A 20,614-nucleotide genomic window follows, 5' to 3' on the forward strand; every position below is an offset into this window, starting at 1 on the left:
TTTTATACATATTGATGCTTCCTTATAAAAGGGCTATTACCTTTTCATTAGATTAAAACTAGTATCGATACCAAATATCCATCTCCTATCCCATTTTAAGATCTTCAACTTCATTTCTATTTTCCTTGTAGAATACCACCACTTCCGCTTCCCCTTCTTTATTTTCAATCTTTTCAGCTAATCTTAATATATGAATATCTCCTATAAACATAGTATAAAACTTTTTAATGCTTTGTCATTTCCTAGTGATATGGTTTGGATATTTGTCCCCTCCAAATCTTACATTAAAATGTGATCTCCAGTGTCAAAGGTAGCACCTAGTGGGAGGTGTTTGGATCTCTCATGAGTAGCCCAGTGCCCTCCCCTGAGGTAATGAGTTCATATGGGAGCTAGTTGTTTAAAGAGCCTGGCAAACCCACCCCTTGCCCTTGCTCCCTCTCTCACAATGTGACACACTAACTCCCCTTTGCCTTTTACCATGACTGTAAGCTTCCTGAGGTCCTCACCAGAAGCAGATGCTGGCACTATACTTCATGTACAGCCTGCAGAACCTTGGGCAAAATAAACCTCTTTTCTTTACAAATTACCCAGTCTCAAGTATTACTTTATAGCAACACAAATGGATTGATAAACCTGGGATTACTGACATTTACGAACCTAGTAGTCAAGCCACTTTTCGATATGCTTTTTAAAATTTCCACTAGTGTTTTTATTGGGTCAGCTCTTTTTAATTATCTTTTCATGGTTAATAAATTATATCCTTTTTGCCCATTATTTACTTGAAGTAAAATTTTGAGTCTTCATTAAAAAAACAACAACAACCAAAAAAAAAACCAAAACAAAACAGAAAAAAAACACTTTTTTTTTTTTTTCCCACAGGGTTTCACTCTGTCACCCAGCCTGGAGTGCAGTGGCAGGATCATAGCTCACTGCAGCCTTGACCCCCTGGGTTCAAGCAATCTTCCCACCTCAGTACCCCCAAGTAGCTGGGGCTATAGGCACAAGCCACCACACCTGGTTAATGTTTTTTTATTTTTTGTAGAGATGGGGTTTCATTATGTTGCCCATGCTGGTCTCAAACTACTGGGCTCAAGCAATCTGCCTGCCTTGGCCTCCCAAAGTACTGAAATTACAGGCATCAGCCACCACACTTGGCCTAAAAAAACTCTTAAACATGATGTCTCTCCTTTTGTAGGAATTAATAGCATTAATTACAAATAATAATACGTCATTTAGATTTATCTATGAATTGTACTAATTTTTGGCATACATTTTATTTAATCCTATCTCATCTGATATTTTGGATTTTGTTTTTATTTTTTGAAGAATAAGAAGTTCTAGAAGATAGGATGGGTAAAGAGGCTGGGCGTGGTGGCTCACGCCTGTAATCCTGGCTCTTTGGGAGACCAAGGCCAGCAGATCACCTGAGGTCAGAAACTCTGGGCCAGCCTGGCCATTACGACAAAACCTTATCCCCACTAAAAATACAAAACTTAGCTGAGCATGGTGGCGCATGCCTATGGTCCCAGCTACTCATGAGGCTGAGGCACGAGAATTGCTTGAACCCGGGAGGCAGAGGTTGCAGTGAGCAGAGATTGCACCACTGCACCCCACCCCGGGCAACAAAGTGAGACTATATATCAAAAATATAAATAAAAATAAATACAGGATGGGTAAAGAGTAAACTTTGAATCCTCACATATTTAAAAATGCCTTTATTTTGCCCTCTAACTAAAATACAAAATTTCCAATATAAAAAATTGTCTCCCGCCATTTACCCTGTTTGACACTCAATGTATCCTTCCAACTTTAAGAATCTGCTCTTTTTTCACTACACTGGAATTTCCCCTTCTTTTATTTTATTACTACAGTCCCTTCTTTCGTCACTGTCTTTCCTTTCTAAATCTCTATTAGATACAACCAAAAGTCTACACCAACTATTCTTGTTTCTTAACTTTCCTTTCCTATTTTCTGTCTCTGTGTCTTTGCTCTCTGTATTTTGGGGTCAGCATTTGACTTTATCTTCTTGATCAGCATCATATACAGTCTCATCTATTTAATCTCTGAATTAAATATCTCAATTCTTATCATCATAAACTTCTAAGAAGCCAATTTTTACTTTGGATTCATACCATCCTTTGGCTTGCTTCCATCATTTTTCCCCTGTTATAATAACTTGGATATCTTAAGGAATCTCTCACTTGTTCTTGGCTTTGGTACTAGTTTGAAATATTATATAACAATTGTACTGTGGTACAATTAATAACTGATGAGCCAATATCAACACAAAATTATTAAACAAAACCCATAGTTTACATTAGGGTTTACTCTGTGTTATATATTCTATGGGACTTAACATACATAAATTGATATGTTCCACCATCATATTATCATTGAGAACTATTTTGCTGTCCCCCAAATACCCTGTGCTCTGCCTATTCATCCCATACCTCCATCTCCCAACCCCCAGGCAACAGGGATAGTTTTCTTGTCTCCATAGTTTTGCCATTTCCAGAATGGCATATAGTTGGGATCATATAGTATGTAGCCTTTTCAGATTGGCTTCTTTCATTTAGCAATATGCATTTAAGGTTCCTCTGTGTCTTTTCATGGATTGATAGCTCATTTCTTTATATCACTGAATAATATTCCATTATATGAATGTACCACAGTTTGTTTCTCCATTCACCCACTGACAAACATGGTTGCTTCCATGTTCTGGCAATTATAAACAAGCTGCTATACACATCTGTGTGAAGGTTTTAGTGTGGAAGTAAGTTTTCAACTCATTTGGAAAAATTCCTAGGCATACACCTGCTAGATTATATAGTAAGACTATGTTTCATTTTATAAAAAACTGTCAAACTGTCCTCAAAGCTGGCTGTACCATTTTCCATTCCCACTAGCAATGAATGAGAATTCCTGATGCTGCACATTCTCTCCAGCATTTGGTGTGGTTCGTGTTCTGGATTTCCTTGATGACATAGGATGATGAGCATCTTTCTTTTTTTTCTTTTTTTGAGACAGGGTCTCACTCTGTCTCCCAGGCTGGACTGCAGGGATACGATCGTGGCTCACTACTGCCTCAGGTTCCCGGGATCAAGAGATCCTCCCACTTCACGCTCTAGAGTAGCTGGGACCACAGGCACATGCAACCATGTCTGGTTAATTTTTTAATTTTTTTTGTAGATGGTGTCTCACTAAGTTGCCCAGGGTGGTTTCAAACTCCTGGAATCAAGTGATCTTCCTGCTTTGGCCTCCCAACGTGCTGGCATTACAGGCATGAGCCACCATGGCTGGCCTTGTTTTCTTGTTTAATTTTAAGACGTCATTGTATATTTAGAACAGCAGTCCTTTATCAGATATGTGATTTGCAAAGATTTCTCTCAGTCTGTAGCTAGTCTTTTCATTCTCCTATTGTCCTTAATTTGTATCCACCTAAATACTGAGACTTAATCAATATTTTTTCTCTCAACATTATATAAGTGGAAATAAGCCATATGTATAATTTTCTTTCTCGCTTCTTTCATTTAACATTGTACTTGTGAAATTCATGAATGCTATTGTATATAGCTATACTTTGGTTATTTTCATGCTCTCTAGTATCCAATGTTTGAGTTTAACCCAGATTATCTATTTTACTACTGATGGACATTTAAGTCATTTCTCATTTTAAAATCCAACAATGCTGGAAAGATATTCTTGCATGTTTATTATGGTGTATTATGGCAAATTACTGAAGAGAATATAGTTAGAGAAAAGTTGATCCATGGGGATCTTTAAATTTATAAGATATTACACTTTTTCAAAGTGTCTTATCAATTTAAACTTATTCCCTTCGTAGTGTATCAGAGTTTCTATTGCTCCATATCTTTATCAACATTAGTACTGTTAATTCTTGAATAATGTTACCTCATTTGGTTCTAATTTGCATTTTACCAATATACTAAGAAGACTGAACACCTTTCACATGTTTTCCCAGCCAGGTGGATTCCTTCTTTGGTAAACTGTTTGTCTTTTGCTCATTTTTTCTCTTTTGAGATGTCTATCTTTAATGTAATGATTTGGTAGGAATTCTTCATATATTCCAAATTAGTTCGTGCTGTTATATACAAATACCATTTTTCACTAAGTGGCATATTTTCCTACTCTTTTGTGAGGTTTTTTTCTTATAATTTTATTGTAGTTTGATGTTTTGTGTCTGAATCTTTTCCTTTATGGATAGTGCTTTTAGTTTTCAGTTAAGAACTCCTTCCATATCCTGAATCATAAAGATATTTCTCATATTATCTTCTAAAAGATTTATGGTTTTGGCTTTCACATTTTCATATTTTATCCACCTGAAATTCAATCTTTGGTGTATATTTTCCTCCATCATGACAGTCAGCTGTCCCATTGCTATTCATTCAAGTCTGTCTTCTATCCAATGACCTCCTATGCCACCGACCTCCTATGCCACCTAATATATATCCCAAGGATCCATATATGTGTGAGACTGTTTGAAGGTCCATTATCTATCCAATGACCATATCAGAGGATCTTAATATGATTTTTCAATTGTCTTGATATCCAAATACATTATTCTCAGTCTTAAGGAATCTCTCACTTGCTCTTGGCTTTTGTACTAGTTTGAAATATTATAATTAGGTTGTAAGGTACCCATCTTCCCTATAATAAAACTATTGAAATTTTGATTGACACTAAATTAAATCTATAGGTCAATTTTGAAAGTGCTGATATCACTGTAATAATAACTCTTCCAAACAATGAACATGGTTCATTTTTACCTAGGTCTTCTTTAACCCATTTTAATTTCTGAATGACATTTTAGAATTTCTCCACAGGGGTCCTGACTATCTTGAATACGTTTTGGAGGACTGCTTTTATTAGTTTAAGGAATTCTCTCCAGTTTCTAATTTACTAAGAAATTTTACCATAAGTTTATTGTGCATTTTATTAATTGCTTTTCTGTATCTACTGAAATGACTATATATTTTTTGTTTTTTAACCTGCAATTAAGTGCATTATATTAATACACTTTGTAATATTGAACTAAGCTAGCATTTGCTACTAGAAACTCAACCAAATATATTAATATTTGTTGTAAATGGCTGGATTCTGTTTTTAATATTTTAAGATTCCTGATTTATATTTATAAATAAGTCTGATCTATATTTATGCATTTACAAGTTCTTATACTACCCTCATCTGGTTTCATTATCAAGATCATGTATGCATTATAAAAGGAGTTGCTACAGAAGAAGCAGGATTGAGAAAAGAAAAAAACATAAAAACGCAAAAAAAATTAAGATGAATTGGCATTTCCTTGTGTCTATTCTCTGAGTATTTATGTAAGAACAAAATTGAAGATAAAACTGCCTAGATAGGAGATTTCTTTGATGGAAGAATTTTGACTGTTTTTTCTTCTACTTCTGGTTCACCTTTATCCTGAAAGGAATAGCCCTTTCCAGCTTAATGGGGGAAGGGCAGCAGATTAGACTCTCCATCTTGAATAGGCCCAAGAGGCTGTGAAAATCCAAGTTTGAGTTATGAACTCTGGACTAAGAAGTTACCTCAACGAAAAGGCAGCTTGAGTGTTTAACCTATCTATCTACTTATTTCCCTTCGATTTAGCTGAGTAATTCCTTACTATCCTTATTAAGTACTTTAAGACTTAAATGAATATCTTATATATAAAATACAGCATTTCCAATTGTTTCTGGCTGAGGGATTGGTATTAATAACCTAGTCTTCTACATTCCTAAAATCATAAATATTACTTTGTAAATTTTTCTTCCAGCCCATAATTTGTATTTGCTAAAGAACGGCCATTCTATTTGTTTATTGTTGTCTCCCATGTGATATAATTGGTTTTCTTCAAATATTTTATGACTCTTGGCTATTTGTTCATATTTTGGACTGAAGGACTAGGTTGATTAGTATAGTTGAATCTTAAAAATATCTTTTCAGTATTATCATATTATCATTAACAATCATATTAGCAGATCTTTTAATATTGAACCATTCCTGAAATGAACTCTCCTTTATACTAGGCATATTAAATCTTTTAATATATTGCTAAATTTACTAAGTGAAGTAGATTATGTAAGATCTTATGTTTTGAAATCAGCACTGAGAATGTTGCACATATTAATACATGAAATATTGAATCTTTCAAAATGTTTCAATTTATACTAATAATTTAATCAGAAAAAGTAAAGAGTAATTTTAAACAGCCATATATAATGCTAGAAAATATAGACACATTTGATAAATAATGTAGTCACATAGCCAGAGTGTTTTTGAGATTTGATTTGATGTTTGGGTTGTTCTTATTTTGTTTGCTGGGTACTACTAATAAAATAAATAGTGTCATGAAATACAGTGAGCATTTGTGGTACCAACACTCTGTCTCTTAACGTATAAAATGGTTCAATGAGTAAATCTGTGTTAATACTGAGTTGTTTCTTAATAACTTTGTCAAGATATAATTCCCATACCATATAACTCACCCATTTAAAGTACATAATTGAATAGTTTTTAATTGTTTGTATATTCACAGGTATCTGCAACCCTTATCATAGTCAAACTTTGGAAATTTTCTTTACTTTAAAATGAAACCTATGTAACAAACCTGCACATCCTGCACATGTACCCCAGAACTAAAAATTAAAATTAAAATAATAAAATGAAACTCCATACATACCCTTTAGCTATCACCTCTTTAATCCCTAAGCAACCACTAGTCTACTTTTTACCTCTACAGATCAATGCTGAACTAATGATTTTTTAAAAAGAAGGTATTTTGTCATTTATTCTTCAGTTAAAAAGAATATACAATAGATCTACAAAGAAAAACTCCCTTAAGATTAATGTTCTCCACAGATCTACACTTTGAAAAGAATCAGCACACTTGAAAAGTGTCCTGCTCTTAATAGTATCAAATAAAATTTCATGCTGAAGAAGAGAGGGTGCATTTTTGTACTGCGAGATTTAGAGATCTGTTACATTCCCAAATGTATCAGGAACACAAAAAAACATTGCTTTAGAAAAAAAAAAAAAAGACAGTGCATGGAATAAATCTGATTTCTAAAGGAAAGATAACTTTTTTCAGGAAACAAAATAAAATTAGAGAATTCAGTGAAATGGATAGATATAAAATAAACAAAATCAGAAACTTTTCACCCACAGAATGACAGTAATACTAGTTAATAAATATGATGGGGGAAAAAAAAACCTTCCACAAAATATTACCCGCAAAAAAAAAAAAAAAAAAAAAACACCTAAAAACAGTACTTTGATGGGAAGTATTATTAAATATTTTACCAAAAGACATGAAAGGCAAATAAGTAACAAAAATACATATCTTCTTTGGTGAAAAATACCAGAGCCTGAAATGTGTCAATTAATCTACAGATTTACTGCACAACCAAATTATATCTCAATTTTTAGGGGTGTGGACTAGAGGTGGAAGGGTTGTAACAAAGTGATTCTCAAGTTGACTGGAAGAATAATAAGGGGATAAATAGCATATTTTAAAAAGACGATTTAAGAGGATACACATATCTTATAAAAAATTAAGCCGGCCGGGCATAGTGGTTCATGCCTGTAATCCCAGCCCTTTGGGAGGCCGAGGTAGGCGAATCACCTGAGGCCAGGAGTTCAAGACCAGCCTGGCCAACATGGCGAAATCCCATCTCTACTAAAAATACAAAAAAATTAGTCGGGCATGGTGGCAGGCACCTGTAATTCCAGCTACTTGGGAGGCTGAGGCAGGAGAACCACTTGAACCCAGAAGGCAGAGGTCGCAGTGAGCTGAGATCGCACCATTGTGCTCCAGCCTGGGTGACAGGCAAGACTCTGTCTCAAAAAAGTAAATAAATAAATAAAAATAAATAAAATAAATAAACAAAAATTAAGCCACACAATGTCAGATACAATAATCACAATGTTGTATTGATTCAAGGAGCGAGAATTCAAATCATATGACCTAGAAATAAACCTGAGTGTATACATAATATAATATATAAAAGGTAGCCTTCAAAATATGTAGGGAAAGGAGAGATGGACAGACTGTTGTTTCTGCCCCCAAAACTCACCTATTAATGCCCTGTCTCCCAGTATGGCTATATTTGGAGATGGGGCCTTTGGGAGGTAATTAACATCAAATGAAGTGATACAGGTGAGGCCCTAATCCAGTGGGATTGTTCTCCTTATAAAAAGAGAAGGAGAGAGCAATCCTTCTTCAGCAGGCATACACTGAGGAAAGGTCAAGTGAGGACAGAGTGAGAAGGCAGCCTTCTGTAAGCCAGGGAGAGAACCCTCACCAGTAGCTGACCATGTGGACACCTTAATCTCTGACTTCCATTCTCTAGTACTATAAGAAAATAAATTTCTGTCATTTAAACCACCCAGTCTATGATATTTCCTTACAGTAGCCTGAGCCCACTAAGACAGTAGATTATCACAATGATGTTATTGGAAGTGATGAGTCATTTTCAAAATAATTAAAGAGAGTCCAATCTCATACCCTATGCTAAAATAAATTTTTTATGGTTGTAGAAAAAGGAACTACAGAAATACTAAAATCAAATAAAGATAAACACATATGCTTTGTAATGAAGAACACATAAATTATAAAGTAAATATCAATAAAATTAACTACTCAAAAACGTTAAAACTTTTTGAAGCTGCAGAAAAGGTAAGAGACATTAAATTAAGAAAAAATATTTACAACATATTGTCAGATGAGGTTAATATTAACAGCTAATGTCCATGTTTTAATAATATATAGTAAAATATTTAAAAACATGAAAATATAAGATAAAGACAATGTATATGAACAAGAAATTCTATGAAGATATACAAATGACATGGAAGAGATTTTCAATATCAGTATTAATTTTTCCTTTATTTATTTCTTTTTATTTATTTATTTATTTTTTTGAGACAGAGTCTTGCTCTGTCACCCAGGCTGGAGTGCAGTGGCACTGTCTCAGCTCACTGCAGCCTCTGCCTCCTGGGTTCCAGCAATTCTCCTGCCTCAGCCTACTGACTAGCTGGGATAACAGGCACATGCCATCATGCCTGGCTAATTTTTGTGTTTTTAGTAGAGACGGGGTTTCACCATGTTGGCCAGACTGGTCTTGAACTCCTGACCTCAGATGATCTGCCCTCCTCGGCCTCCCAAAGTGCTGGAATTACAGGAGTGAGCCAACATGCCCGACCTAATATCAGTATTATTTTTTAAAAGCATAATAAAATAAGATACAATTTCTGAAATTAGAAATTATTTTCTGTTTTTAAACATAACTTTCTGTGGAATAAAAAGAATAGGGAAATAGGCATTCTAGTAGATGCTGCTCAGAGTGTTAAATAGTTCAATAGTTTGGGAGAGCAAATGAGCAATACCTAGAACCTAAGAAATGTCCAAATACTTTTACTCACTATTTTCATTTCTTAAGAACTTGCTCTAAGTCCTTACACATAACCATGTGTAAGGACATGGTTATAACAGTATTTACTGCAATGCTTTTAATAGCTAGAAAAAAAACAAAACCAAAAACTTTCTTAAAAGCCCAAAATATCAAATGAATCAATTAAAAATAATAATATAATCCTACAATGCAATATTATATATATTAAAATTAAATCATATTCATCAGACATTAAATGAAAAACACAGCATGTTCCTACTTAAAACCCATTATATATTGTATAGTTTATTTATATATTAAAAAAGGGACTTTACATTTATATATCAGAAAGCTAATAATAACCATGCAAGGGATGATGACTAAAATGTTCTTAATAATCAAAATTTCTATTCTAATATAGAAACATATTTTTATAATGTTTATATGTTAGAACATACAACTCAATGGGGAAAAAGTAAGGCACTCAAAAAATGATCCGAAGACAATGGGTGCACTACCACTACAAAAAAAATGAGATCCTTAATCATACTATAAATGAGAGTAAACAACAGGTGGTTGTAAACATATAAATGTGTAAAAATCTAATTATAAAATAGTTAAGCAACTTTTTAAAAATCTCAGAACACACAAAAACATGTAAAAAACATTTCAAGTTTGCCAGATTTTATTATAACAGAAGAATAAAATGATAAAAATGTCAGATCAAGTCCTTGGTTACATACGTAAAATGAGAGAAAATTAAACTTAAGTATTATCAGATATATAAATATTTAAAAGTTCTGTATACTATAACAAAAACCATAAGCAAAAATAAAAGGAAAGAAATATTTGCAACATATTCAATAATGACATATCCTCTTTGGATCAAACCCACATACATATTAACCAATCTCCTAGAACTTGCTGCTTAGATGGCACAAAGGCATCACAAAGTAATCATTTCGAATGTAAACTCATCATCTCCCCGCTCCAAACTATCAAAACTGCTAACACTATCATCCAAGAAAGGAAACCATTCACCTAAGCATTTCCTTGATAGTTCTTTTCCTTTTACCTCTTATATCTAATCCATCAGAAAGTACAATTAATCTTACTTCCTAAAAATCTCTTGAATTCAACCATATCTCTCAATACTTACTATCACTCCTTGACCCAAACTATCATTATCACTTGCCTGGAATACTAGACTAGCCTAGTAATTGTTTTTGAATTCATTCTTACCCCTCATCCACTATCCACACTTAAGCCAAAACAATCTTTCAAAATGAAAATCTGATCATCTTACTCCATGTTATCCCACCTTCACCTTGAACACATCTATACGTAACACATTCCATTCAGCCCACTGTTTAAAAGGTCAAGTAGATTCTAAATAACATGGCATCTACCTACTTCTCTTTTCTTACTTCACCCTATGTTCTATCCACTCTGGACTTCTTTCAGGTCTCTGAGAGGGCTATGTTCCCTTAAAATAGGTTTTTACACACAGTATTTACTCTGTCTGGAACACCTGCTGATTAATTAGAAAAGAGAGTTCATGGGTCATGGATGATTTTTAAGTTTCTAGCTAGCACAACTAGATGGATACTACAGTCACTTAAAGAAATTGTTTTAATGCTAAATTATCTTCCGTCATTGACTCCTCACTATTATTCCTCAAACACTTTGAGATAAGAGCCCTTGCACTACTGTTCTTTAGGACTAAAATGATCATTTAATTGGTCTTCTTTGCATAAATGGTGACTCATTGATATTCTAATCTCAGAGTGCCACTTCAAAAGCAAACACCCTGTTTCCTAATCTGTCATTCTATTTTCATTGTCTGCATTGCATGATCACTGTCTGACATTCTTGTTACATGTTTATTGGATATCTCTTCCAATCAAAATATAACTCTCTGAGAGCAAAGACTATCTATCTTGTTCATTGTCATATTCCCACTGCCAAAGCATAATCAATCTTTAAGAAACACGGAAGGAAGGAAGGAAGGAAGGAAGGAAGGAAGGAAGGAAGGAAGGAAGGAAAGAAGGAAGGAAGGAAGGAAGGAAGGAAGGAAGGAAGGAAGGAAGGAAGGAAGGAAGGAAAGAAGGAAGGAAGGAAGGAAGGAAAGAAGGAAGGGAATTCAGAGCCAGCATTCTATAACTGAAATAAAGTGGATTATCACCAAAAATATATGCCACATTAAAATATATCAATAGATCATGGGAACAGAACATTGGGCAGCTTAATATGTTATGAACTTTTTTTTTCAAAAGGTAACAGTAGAACTGTGAACTCCAAATCAGTGTTTATAATATTAACAGGCACTATAGAAGGCAAAATGGTATAGTGGCTAAGAACATGGGCTCTAGAGTCAGACCATCTGGGTTTCAATCCGACTTCTACTTCTTATTGTATGGCATTAGGCTGGTTACCTAACCTCTCTCAGGTTCAATTTCCCAGACTATAAGGTAAATATAATAATAATAATAATACCTACCTTTCTAGGGTTGTATTGAGGATGAAATAAGAGAATATGTATGAAGTAAACAGAACAACGTCTGACACATAGAGAGAATAATCAATAGATATTAGCTGCTATTTTCTTATTGCAAAGGGCTTCTATAAAAGTGAGCTCAGTGGTAGAAAATGTGATAATTTGAAGCAGCTACTTCTATGTCTTTGAAGGACATCTATAGCTCCAAGTGAGTGATTCCAAAGACATACATATGTTGATTTTAAAGCAGTAAAACACTGAATATATAGATAATCAGCTCTAAATAACAACTTCCCTTGGGCTTCTTACATACCGAGTGGGTACGGAGTGCTGCGATGGTTTTTGAAAGTGCCATTTCCCACAGTTCATCAATGTAGGCTCTATTTACTAAGCCCTGGGTTGTATGTAAAATGTGATCTTCAACCACAAAAAAGCTAAGATTGAGGAAAAAAGAAAGCACAGCTGTCAGAAATTACAGTTTTATTACTCTCTCTGGGGTTTGACAAGCATTAAGAGATACCATCAAATGCAAAGTTAGTGGTCATTTTTTTCTTGAAGAAACTTATTCAGTAGAATAAATGAAATCAGACTACTTGGACCAAAAATTATGTCTGTGATCATGACATCTTCATAACCACTCCTAGAGAGATCAGAGTTACATTTCTATTAAATTTCTATTAAATGTTAACAATGCTATCCAGTAGTTTAAAAGAGAGGAAAATGTGTAGAGGTAATGGAGGCAAATTTTGTTATATTAAGAAAATACCCAGCCATCAATGCATTTCAAAAAAACAAATTTTAAAGAGATCATAAAAGCTAATATATACATCATATATATATATAATGTATTCTCTATATATTTTAAGAATCCAATGCACAAAATATCAAAATAATTCCCATCATGTGGACTCTATCATCAAAGTCTTGAAAAGGCATCATACAAAGGTTTCAAAAATGTGAAGTTACGTTTGAACAATCTTGTGGCTTTTTGTTATTATGCATTTAAAATGTAGCCTGCATTGTCTTGCCTAAATATTCATATTAATGAAAAAAGTCTTTATTAGGGAATTTTTATGATATATTTTAATAACTACTAATTACATTGAAACAATTTAAATCTGAAAAAAATAAACCTGATGAAGAATCCAAGTTATTTCCTTTTCTTTTAACTGCAAAGTCATTATTTTGCAATTAGAACAAGCTGCCAGTATTGGGATGTTTATTTGGGAAATGTAATTCCGTACCACTATATACACCCTAGATGAGGGTGGCAAACTATATAGCCTATGGGATAAACCTAGCCCACTGCCTGTTTTTATAAAGATTGTTTTATTGGAACATAGCCATGCTCATCATTTACGTATCATCTATAGCTACTTTTGCACTATAACAACAGAGCTAAGCAGTTGTGAAAGAGACCATATGGCCTACTAAGCCTAAAATATTTTACTATCTGGCCCTTTTGGAAAAAGTTTGCCAACTTTTGCTGATTATTTGGTTCCATTTACCAAAAACAAAGAAACAAAACATCAAGTGTAATAAGATTACAATTCAATGTTTTTCTCACTTTATCCACAAAAATGCCCTCCAGCAATATAAAGTTGAAACCAGCAGGGTGTTCCTTTTAAATCATTAGAAAATCAAAAACAAATCTTGTCTTAAGGATTAAAAAAAAGAAAATGAAAAGAATTTCCTAAGGAAAACCTGATTTATTTTTCCAACATTCACAACTCTATGTATGGAAAGAGTATAAATTTCAATAAATAAATAAATAAATAAATAAATAAATATATATATATATATATATATACCTACCCTACAATTTGATTAAAATACTTCCTGTAGCCATCTAAAGTTTCATGCTGCAACAAAGCAAAGAAGAAAAAGTTATTGTTTCTGTTTTGTTACATTAAGACTAAGTTAAAATCAGTCACTTAATCTCTTAAGGCTCAGCTCCCTAGATGATATCTGATAAGGTAAAAATAATAATATTATCTACCAATGAAGAGGAAATATGACAGCACATATCTAGTACTTAGAACAGTGCCAGACACACAGCAATCAATAAATGTTTTCTTACTGCAAGTCACATCCACCAAAAGTGGTCTCAGAATGACAGTAAACACACACACACAGACACACACACACACACACACACACACGCATCAAAAGACATCAAGGAGGAAAAGTAAAAATGTGAGAAAAGTGAAGATGGTAATCCTACCATGTTAGATGGAGGTTGAAGTACCAAACGAGCCTGTTTTCGCCTCTGTTTTCGGTAGTAATTCTCAAATGTTTCCCGGGCACCCTGTAAATAAAGAAAAGAAAATGGGTTGACACAATTGGACCAATTACTCTTTTATTTCAAGGGAAAAGAGAAGGTCCCAGGTCTGGAATTTGAGGTAGTATCACATTTCTCAAAATCTGCTATTTTAACATTGATGATAACAATAGAAAATACAAATAACTATTACCATGTATTGAACCTTAGTTACAAACCTGTAAGGATGTGTACAAAATATCCTTACAAGGAACCTACCAGAACTTAATCACCAGCACACCAAAGCTGGTTTCTGAATCAACTGTCTCAAATTCACAAGAATGCAGGGAAACCAACCTTTCCATAAGTTATGATAACAGGTAAGAAAATGCTCCTTAAAAAACTCACAGAACATTCCAGAAGAAAAACATCAAGAATAAAAATGAATCATGAACAAAGGGGCAATGGGAAGCAGGAAAAAAGCAGGAATTGAGAACAGTAAATTAGTATTCCCCCTTAGGTTATAATCCAGCACAGGATTAAACCCAAAAAACAAAAACAAAAGCATGAAGATTCCTGGTGCACAGCCCCACTTTTCGTTTAGGGTTTCTGGGCTTAAAATGAGAAGTGCTCTACATAATAATATCTGACTCATGAGCTGTGTACTGGGTTGAATAGTGGTTTCTCCAAATTCATGTCCTTCGTGGAACTTCAGAATGCAACCATATTTGGAAATAGGGCCATTGTGATGTAATTGGTTAAATTAAGATGTGATCCTATCAGTGGAGGGTGGGACCTTAATAGAGTATGTCTGGTGTCCTGAAAGCCGAAAAGAATAGACACAGAGACACATGGGGAGAACACCACGTGATGACAGAGGCAGAGAATAGAGTGATGCAGCTGCAAGCCAGGGAACATCAGAGATTGTTGATCACCAGCAGGCACTAGAAAAACACAACAAAAGATTCTACCCAGTCTCAGAGAGAAAATGGCCCTTATCATGCCTTGAGTTTGGAATTCTAGCCTCCAAAACTGGGATAGAATACATTTCTGTTGTTTTAAACCACTCAGTTTATGGGGCCTTGTTACAGCAGCTCTAGGAAATGAATACAAACTCAGTGTGTTTAGATTATCACACCCCACTTATTACTGAATTCTTCTACTTTTATTTTTACTTTTATTTTTTTTGAGACAGCATCTCACTCTGTCACCAGGCTGGAGTGCAGTGGCACAGTCTCGGCTCACTGCAACCTCTGCCTTCTGTGTTCAAGAGATTCTCCTGCCTCAGCCTCCTGAGTAGCTGGGACTACAGGTGTGCGCCACCATGCCCAGCTAATTTTTGTATTTTTAGTAGAAACAAGATTTCACCATGTTGGCCAGGATGGTCTCGATCTGTTGATTTTGTGATCCACCTGGCCTCCCAAAGTGCTGGGATTACAGGCCTTAGCCACCACGCCCGGCCCTGAATTCTACTCTTAATCCAAAGCTTTTCTAAATAAATAAGAGTAAAAATGAAAAGAGAGAATACCAGTGGTAAAGAGAACTGACTTTGGAACCAGAGACTATTATTACATTTGAATAGTGACTCTGCCCCTTACTAGCTGTACAACTGCTATAAATAGCACTATAACTTCCTACCACTAATTTAAGTTCCACTATTTAACTTTCACTAATAAGTGTGCCATGGTTTTCTCATTTGTAGAGATGCCAACATCATATGGTTGTAATGAGGATTTAGAGGAGTTATAAAGCTCTTAGAACAGTATCTCATGCAAGCGCTTATTTTAAAAATAAATAAGATAAAATCAATGATTAAAGTAAAAGCCCTGCCCACCTAAAAAAAGTATAAATGCCACGCAATACCTAGTTTAGTTTTCCTCTGCCTTCCTGAAAAATTGAAGAACTTTATTCAAGATGATTTATTTGTTAGATTCCCAAACTGGTCCTAAAAAATTGGGAAAGTCGACTTAAGGTACTAGTCATGGAAAGACACTAATGTAGCTCAGGGGTTGGCAAACATTTTCTCTAAAAGGCAGGATAGTAAATATATGAGGGGTTGGTGGACAGCTACTCAATTCTGCTGGTGTAGTGCAAAAGCAGCCATAAACAAGACATAAACAAGTATGGCTGTGTTCCAATAAAACCTTGTTTATGGAAACAAATTATAATTTTGCACAGTTTTCACCTTTCATTAAATATTCCTTTTCTTTTGATTTTAAAAATGTAAAAAACATTTTTAGTTCACAGGCCCTTCAGAAACAGGCAACAGGCTGGATTTGGTTCATGGGTTATGGTTTGTTGAACCCTGGTGTAGCTTAAAAACAACAGTTTTAAAGTTCTAAAGTGATTATAACTGTATACACCCGAGTTTTTCCTTCCTAGAAAATGAAATCGAACACTAGGACAGCATTTCAAAGCTTTTTTCATCCATACATTAATGAGGAGGCAAATGATTCCATTTAAGAAATAAGAGGAAACTGTTAGTTGGTTTGTTAAAGTTATTCTCAAGTTGTCACCATTTCACAGCATAGTAGTATTATTAAATCTTAATTACATTCTGTATACACTAAAGGGCTTTTTATTTTAAGGTTAACAGCCCTAAAGGACCTTTATTATTGTAGTGTGACATTACATATTCAATATGCTTTGGAGCCAAGACACACTTACTTGAGAATTTAGAGAAAGCATTCCTCTAATTATACCACACTATACTCATTTAATTTTTTGTTATAAATGATAGAAAATACATAAGATGGAATTCTATATAAAAACCAAATCATGAACTTCTACTTAATTCTAAACTGGGTGTAGCTTTGCTTTTCAAGTATTCCTCAATAGGATAAAAACAAAAGACAAGACCAATTTATCTAATAGGTCTGGCTTCCCATTTACAAAAATGAGCTGGAGTTTCCTTAGTGGCTGCTAAATTCACCTTTCATTATTCTATTCCCTCTGCCAATTTTGTCAACTCAATACTTAAAGGTGGAATTTGAGACGTAGATGTTTGACCAGTCCAGTTGAGTAATTGGTGCAGTGCCTGTCTATTCACAGAGAGGTCACTAGATGAGCTACAGAGGTTTCACTTAAGCTCCAAGCTCTTTCAATCATTAACATTTTTTAAAAAGCTGCTGAAGACATAAGCAAATAGATATAAAACAATAAGCAGGCAAGTAAAACTTGGATTTTTTCCTACTTTATATCATTAGTATTACACTGCTCCAAAAGTTTTGTGTTAATACACACAATCTCACCAAAAACCAAGTCACTTAATATATACTAAGTGGTTACCATGTGATTGGCACACTGAGAACAGTACCTGTACTTACTGAATTTATAGACTATGGAAGACTGACAAACAAGCAATTATATTAAAATGAACTACAGAATCCTATGGATTAAAGTAGGGTGTGTGTGTGTGTGTGTGTGTGTGTGTGTGTGTGTGGTGGGTGGGGGAAGTGTCAACGAAAGCTTCTTCGAAAAATGATGTTTATACTTCTAATTGACGAATGAGTCAGAAGAATAAGCCAGAAAGAGAGAAAGGGAAAAAAGTGTTCCTGGAGGAGACAAAGAGGCTGAATGGAAAAAAAGGCATCACATATCCTAAGAATCTGAAAGAAGTTCTCCATGGCTGGAACTTGAGGTGTAAAGTACAGGGCTGACAAGAGATGAGGCAGGAAAGCTTCATAAATTATGTTAAGGTATTTGTACTGTAGCGACCATAAGAGTTTTAGATATTTTGGAAGTTGTACTGCAGAGAGTAAAGAAAGGGAAAAATTAAAATTGAAAAGATCAGTCAGAATCTGAGACGTATTTAGGAGGTTTAAGCTGGAAATTAATTGGATATGGGTGATAAAGAATAGGAAGGAAAGAAGGCTGATACAAAGTTTCTAACCTGGGTAACTGGTTTGACAGTGGTTTCATCTGTGAGAGAGGGAACATAAGTAGATGGAATAAACAGTACATCATTATTCACAGATTCTGTATTTGTGAATTTGCCTACTTGCTAAAATTTATTTGTAAACCCAAAAGCAATACTCATAGTTCTTTCATAGTCATTCAACAGACATGTGCAGAGGGGTGAAAAATTTGAGTTGCCTAATGCACATGTTCCTAGCTAAGGTTTAAACAAGGCAATGCTCTGCCTTCTTATTTTAGTTTTCATATTGTAAACGGGTGTCATTTTCATAGTCTATCCAGTGCCACATTTTTTACATTTTTGCACTTTTTGTTGATGATTTTGCTGTTTAAAATGGCCCCCAACCATAGTACCAACGTGCTGTCTAGTGTTCCTAAGCTCAAGAAACAATATGTGCCTTTGAAAGAAGGCACAAGAAAACTGTGATGTGCCTTACAGTGAAAACCAACATGGTAGATAAAACTCCTCTCAGGCATGAGTATAGTGCTGTTCGCTATGAGTTCAATGTTAATGAATCAACAAGATATATTAAATAACATGTCCTTAAGCAGAAACACTCATAAATCAAGGTTATGCATTCATTGGTTGATGAAAATGTGACCAGAAGCTCACAGGAAACTAAACCTGTATTTCTCCTAAAAGCAATGGCTCAGTATTCGCTCACTCAGTGTTTCCAGTGACTTTATAGAACATAACTATCACGAATAATGAGAATTGACTATATTTGGGAAGATTAATAATGATGACTTCTGTACTGGGCATATTTAATTGATGACTTCCAAGTGCCAAGTGTTTGGGAACTGACATATTTGCGTCTATAGCTTAAGAGAATCATAATCATTAGCAGAGAGATAGTAATAAAGGCCCTTAGAGAAAGGGCTCTAAGAAATGCTTGTAGAATTAAAGTACAAAAGAACCTAGCACAAAACTCCAAAGGACATGGGCCATGAGGAAATGTGTGGCTCTTTCTGATAACTCAAACATAACTTTGAACATCAACTACTTAGAAAAGACTTTTCTACTACTCAGCTTAAAATGGAAAATTTTCCCTAACACATAACCCTTTTAATTCTTCAGTTAGCACGTATCTCCATCTGATATTGTTTACTGTCTGTCTCCTCTTGTTAGGATGCAAGCTCCATGAGAAAAAGTCTCAGTTTATCTTGTTTATTGTTGTATTCCCAACTCCTACAACAATGCCAGACACATAACTGGTATGCAATTTTCAATAAATGATCAAAAGTGTGAATAAATTATTAATCTATAATTTATTATAAGCCTCTACTTTCATATTTGCCCTTCATCTCCTACTGCAATAATCATTTACTTGTAAGTATTCCTATTCATCTCCTCATGTAATTTTTCGATCTCCATTTATTCTTCTAAAGTTTTTTGTTCCTGTTTCATAGAGGCAATTCTTTTTAAGAATTTTCTTTTGATTCCTATAGAAAATCACTTTTAGCATCACATTTCTTCTGGATTTTTAGGATGATGTTCTTTGATCCCTTCTATTCAATACATTTTCTCAGACAACATTTTGTTTTGTTTTCCCATTTACTCTATTTTGAATGAGAGGAGCTTTCAGGCTTGGTTTGTGGTTTGCATTTAGCCCATTCACCATTTATCTGGCTATAGATCTAACATCATTATGGAAGTGGCAACTCATAGGTTGATGTGCCCAGGTCCAAAGACATGCCAAAGGCAATCTACAAACTGATTTCAGCATCCAGCAAGCAATTGGCCTATAAAATATGAGCAAATATTCTCCTGCCACACAGTTGCCAGTGTTTAATAATCTGAACTTCTTAAACTGAATAAAAACCAGAGTTAATACAGGATCTTCCTATATGTGCTCTTGTATGGCACTATTATTTTGAATATTCTCCAGCACAGGATGAACTGTACAGCCACCAGCAGTACCCCAATTCCCCAATTCCCCAATTCCCCTTATCCCATACTCTGAGAGCTTAAAATGGAAACTCCACACACCACAAGGGTTGCCAACTGCTATGGTCTGAATGTGTCCCCCAAAATTAACATGTTAAAACTTAACCACCAACATAGTAGTAAGAGATGCGGCCTTTAAGAGGTGATTAAGTGATGAGGGTAGGGCCCTCATGAATGGAATTGGGACCCTATAAAACAGTTTGAGGGAGTGGGTTTGCACCCTCCCATCTCTTCTGCCATGTGGGCAGAAGAGTTCCTCCCCTCCATTCCTCCCTCTGGAGGATAAGGCAATAAGTTGTCATCTAGAAGAAAAGAGCAGCCTTCACTAGACAAAAGAACCTGTTATTGCCTTGATCTTGGACTTCTCAGCCTCCAGAATCCTAAGAAATAAGTCTCTATTGTTTATAAATTACCCAATCTGTGGTATTTTGTTATACCAGCACAAATGGACTAAGACACTGGCTAATGTATTCATAAATTCAGGATCCTATTTTCAAGCTAGAAGGCATACAGTGGGAAAGGTAAAAAATATCTTCTGACTTACAATTTGCTCTGTTTATAACAGCAAAACACATCAC

The 20,614-nt window shown here is 34.7% G+C and overlaps 1 protein-coding gene across 13 annotated transcripts in view; it reads right to left on the reverse strand.

The window, feature by feature from the left end:
* Positions 1–20,614, reverse strand: part of EXOC6B (exocyst complex component 6B) — a 650,050-nt gene that overhangs the window by 324,922 nt on the left and 304,514 nt on the right. For 12 of the 13 annotated variants that reach the window (NR_135774.2, NR_135773.2, XR_007071495.1 and 9 more), the window contains 3 exons: positions 14,138–14,221; positions 13,729–13,775; positions 12,227–12,347 (listed from right to left, as the gene is read on the reverse strand). Coding sequence is in view for 10 of the 13 variants with exons in the window: in NM_001321734.2 (NP_001308663.1) it covers positions 12,227–12,347; positions 13,729–13,775; positions 14,138–14,221 (252 nt within the window). In the remaining 3 variants the exon portion in view is untranslated. Of the gene's footprint in view, positions 1–12,226; positions 12,348–13,728; positions 13,776–14,137; positions 14,222–14,530; positions 14,853–20,614 lie in introns of those variants that run through there. The other variant, XM_005264224.2, reaches the window with a different exon arrangement.

Source organism: Homo sapiens, chromosome 2, assembly GCF_000001405.40.
Source record: "Homo sapiens chromosome 2, GRCh38.p14 Primary Assembly".
Lineage (NCBI taxonomy): Eukaryota > Metazoa > Chordata > Mammalia > Primates > Hominidae > Homo > Homo sapiens.